The following is a 4,212-nucleotide window of genomic DNA, read 5'->3' as shown; positions in this document are numbered from 1 at the left end:
CCCTCCCACTCCTCAGTATTGGTGGTGAACAGTCTTCTGACTAACTAGGATAACAGGCTGGGGCATCCAGTAATGACATATGCAGATGGTCCCTATGCCACAAAGCTGTTTCTCCTGGCCACAAATCACCCTGCCCAAGATAAACCATGGCTTCAGCAACTGTCCTCCCACTCCAGTCCAATGACAGGAGATAGCACAATTTTAGCACTTACTCTGGGGGTGCACTGCAACAGCCACTCAGTTCTGGCTGTGGGGGGCTCTTCCCCCACTACAGAACAAGCACTCCAATTTCTGGGCAGAGATTAAAATATCTACGGTGGCCACTACAGCTGGGTTGTCAAACACTGACTGACTTTGTCATGAGCCTGAATTGAAAATGGCATCCTTCCTTCAGTCCCACATCTGTGAAAAATGCCTGCAGATTTTCTTGGAGTGTTTTCCCTCCATTGTCTCCTGGCTTCTCCCCAGGTTCGCTCCAGGTCTTGGGAGAAACAAGGTGCTCACTAATAATTTGGTTTTCAAAGAATATATAATAAAATGAAAATATTAAGTTTAAAAGGCCAATAACACATATAATACTACATGTAAAGTGTAATTTTTACTTGCTTACATAATATATATATTTGTATATATGTATATGTATATACCTTTATATTATATATGCATGTAATAATTACATTAGAGAAATAAACAGTTTACACACTCTTTTAAAATATATATAGATTTTGGCTTTGTACTTTTCCATATCTTCCAAATTTTACTTATATGACTTTTACAATTAAAAAAACACATTTTATAAATTTGAACAAAGAGAAGATCATGAGAAACAACAGGGAAAAACAAGTCTCTCAGTGTTTTTGGATATATTTATATATGTCAAATTCCAAGCAAAGTGACATGAAAGGTGTATATTTAATGTCTTCTACACCACATTTTTCATCAACATTTTAAACAATATTTCCCATGAAAATACTTCTCAAGTCATGTAATGAAAGCCCTTCAAAAATTTCACTGGGAATAAAACAAGTGCATATATATTTCAGAAATATGAAAACTTGGAACAAGCAGACATTTTACCAGAAGGCAGAGGATAGGTGGTACATTCAGTTTGTGACCACAGAGTTAGGGTCACATTTGGCAAGGAAGTGAAATAAATGCTACTAGATATCAGAAGCTGACAGGGGAGGTGTTATAAATCCACAGCAGAGTAGCAGAGAGAAGGAAAATTAAGACAGCAATGGCAACAACCAATTTAATGGGAGATGAAAAAATAGAGAACGACTAGATGCATCTGATTTTTTTCTAGAAATTACATTTTTATGACAATGTGATGCCCTTTTCGAAGAAACATCTTATGGCTTTCATTTTTTTTTACCCAGAGAATTCTTACACAAGGTAAACATGATGCCGATAGAGGCATAGTGTCAATGTGTCTAATGCTACCAAGTCTTAGAATTAGGTGAAAGAGCATGACTCTCATTGTGTCTCATGTCTGGCCTTCATTCACCAGTTTTATAGTTGATTTTCTTGTTTGTTTGTTTTTCTGCTATATAGACAGAACAGGACTTAATGGGTTGTTCATCGCTTTTGGTTTTTAAAACCCACAATTTCAATTAGTCATGACAAAAACATCCCTGCTGATCACATCACTCTCATTACTTACCTTACCCTTAATGACAACTTTCCTTTGCAGTTGACATGTTGCTACCTGGCTTTTGTCACACTAGAGTGTCAACACTACCAAGAAAATCAATAATTTCACTTCAAAGGCAGCATATTCCACTGTCATTCTCAAATTGCAGAGAGAAAAACACTATAGCATTTTTCAAATATGCTGAATCTCTCTTCAAAAGATTTTTTTTTCCAAAATACCTTGGATAAATAAACCATGTTCTATGTCTTCTTCTGGAATGCATTTAGATAGTAACTGAGCAGGTCTAAAGAACCTGTTTAATTTTACACCATTGTCATAAATATTTAGATTATTTTGCTATATCAAACTGAAGGATTTCTGAGATCTTAACTTCATTTACCATAGGCATTACTGAATGAAGGTTATAGGCACACTAATCAAAACATAAATCTAAAAAAAACCCAGTTACACCATTTATAGCTGCTTGAACTAGCATATTGACTGAAAAAAAAATCTCTCTTCAGTTCATTTATATCAATATATTTAGTATAATTTAAAATTACCTCCCTGTATTTATCTAACACAAACTGTATAGGGTTTCATAGACATTTCTCAGAGTCTTACTGCTTTAAATTAGCAGTGTTGAATTTCTTTATTTTATGATCTTTGTTTTTGAAGTTATTGATGCAGTGGAGCTGTGGAAATCTGGCGCTAAGCATTGATCTAGAGGCTCTGGAGGAGGAAAGAAGAGAGTCATCAGGAGAAATGGCATTCCTTTTGAATGGGAACCCTTCAGGAGTGTATTTTTCTTTTTCTTTTTCCTTTCCCTTGACCCTCATACAATGACAACTGCCCTTGAGTATAAATATAAACTAAGGTGGAAATGAAGTGGAGGTAATTCAAATTGATAAGATCAGGGCTCTTCACATCTATTCAAGATATTTTTATAGTTGTGGTCCTGGAAACTCCATAGTGGAATTGTGAAAATGACCTTCTCTGATATTTTTAATTAAATTGCTTCATAGAGGTATGATTAACATTTAAAAGCGTACATATTTAATGTATATAACTTGATTAGTTTGCAGATAATATATACCCATGAAACCATCACAATCAATGCCATAAACATATCCATTGCCTGCAAAAGTTACTCTTTTTTTGTGATAAGAACATAGCATCAGATCTGTCCTCTCAGAAATTTTTAGGTATAGAATTCAGGATTGTAAACTATAGGCACTATGCAGTACATTAGAGCTTTAGAATCTGTTCGTCTTGCATAACCGAAACTATGTAGCATTTGACCAGTACTTTCCATTCTGACACTCCCCCGCTATCCCCTGGCAACCACCATTCCACTCTGTTTCTGAGTTTCACTACTTTAGATTCGTCATATAAGTGGGATAATGTGGTATTTGTCCTTCTGTGTCTGGCTCATTTCACTTAGCATAATGTCCTCTAGAATGCTCCATGTTGTTGCATGTGGCAACATTTTTTTTCTTTCTTTTTCTTTTTGGAGACGGAGTCTCACTCTGTCACCCAGGCTGAAGTGCAGTGGCAGCATCTCGTCTCACTGCAACTTCCGCCTCCCGGGTTCAAGCAATTCTCCTGCCTCAGCCTCCCGAGCAGCTGGGACTACAGGCGCACGCTGTCACGCCCGGCTAATTTTTTGTATTTTAGTAGAGACGGTGTTTCACCGTGTTGCCCAGGCTGATCTCGAGCTCCTGAGTTCAGCAATCCGTCTGCCTAGGCTTCCCAAAGTTCCGGGATTATAGGCGTGAGCCACCGTGCCCGACTGGCAACATTTTTTAAAGGTGAATAATACTCCATTTTCTGTATATAGCACATTTTCTTTATCCATTTATCATTTGATGGACTCTTAGGTTGCCCCCACATCTTGGCTATTGTAAATAATGCTGCAATGGACATGGGAGTGCAGATATCTCTTTGAGATTCTGATTTAAATTTCACAGTGACCAAAGAGTTAGGGTCACATTTGGCAAGCAAGAGAAATAAATACCCTTTATTGGAAAAATCATTTGCAAATATTTCTTCCAATTTTTAGATTGTTTTTTTCATTTTGTTGATTGTTTCCTTTGCGCTGCAGAAACCATTTAGTTTTATGTAATCCCACTTGTATCTTTTTACTTATGTTGCTTGTGCTTTTGGTGTCATATTCATGAAATCATAGCCAAAGCCAAGGCCAAGGTCTTCCCCTATGTTTTATTTTAGGAGTTTTATGGTTTCAGATCTGATATTTAAATATGTAGTCTGTTCTGAGTTTATTTTTGTGTGTGGTTTAAAATAAAGGTTCAAATGTATTTTTCACTTCTTTGTCTATTTCCAGTTTTCCCACCATGATTTTTTGAAAAGACTATTCTTTCCCCATTGTGTATTCTTCGCACCCGTGTCAAAAATCAGTTGACGGACTATGTGTGGATTTATTTCTAGATTCTCTATTTTGTTCCATTGATCTATATGTCTGATTTTATGCCATTTGTAATATATTCCGCAATTAGAAACTAAGATGCCTCCAGGATTTTTCTTGCTCAAAATTCCTTTGGCTCTCTAGCAACGTTTGT

At 36.5% G+C, this 4,212-nt stretch overlaps 1 annotated feature.

The window, feature by feature from the left end:
* Positions 2,373-3,572: an enhancer, noted in NCBI's record as "BRD4-independent group 4 enhancer chr2:194444896-194446095 (GRCh37/hg19 assembly coordinates)". NCBI's record gives its function as "activates an origin of replication core promoter dependent on BRD2, P300/CBP, MED14 and CDK7 cofactors, and independent of BRD4, by STARR-seq in HCT116 cells {active_cell/tissue: HCT116}" and the evidence as "EXISTENCE:reporter gene assay evidence [ECO:0000049][PMID:35650434]".

The sequence above is a fragment of the Homo sapiens genome, chromosome 2 (assembly GCF_000001405.40).
Source record: "Homo sapiens chromosome 2, GRCh38.p14 Primary Assembly".
In the NCBI taxonomy this organism is placed as follows: Eukaryota; Metazoa; Chordata; class Mammalia; order Primates; family Hominidae; genus Homo; species Homo sapiens.
Note: the sequence above shows the minus strand (reverse complement) of the source record. Positions and strands in the feature narration are given on the sequence as shown.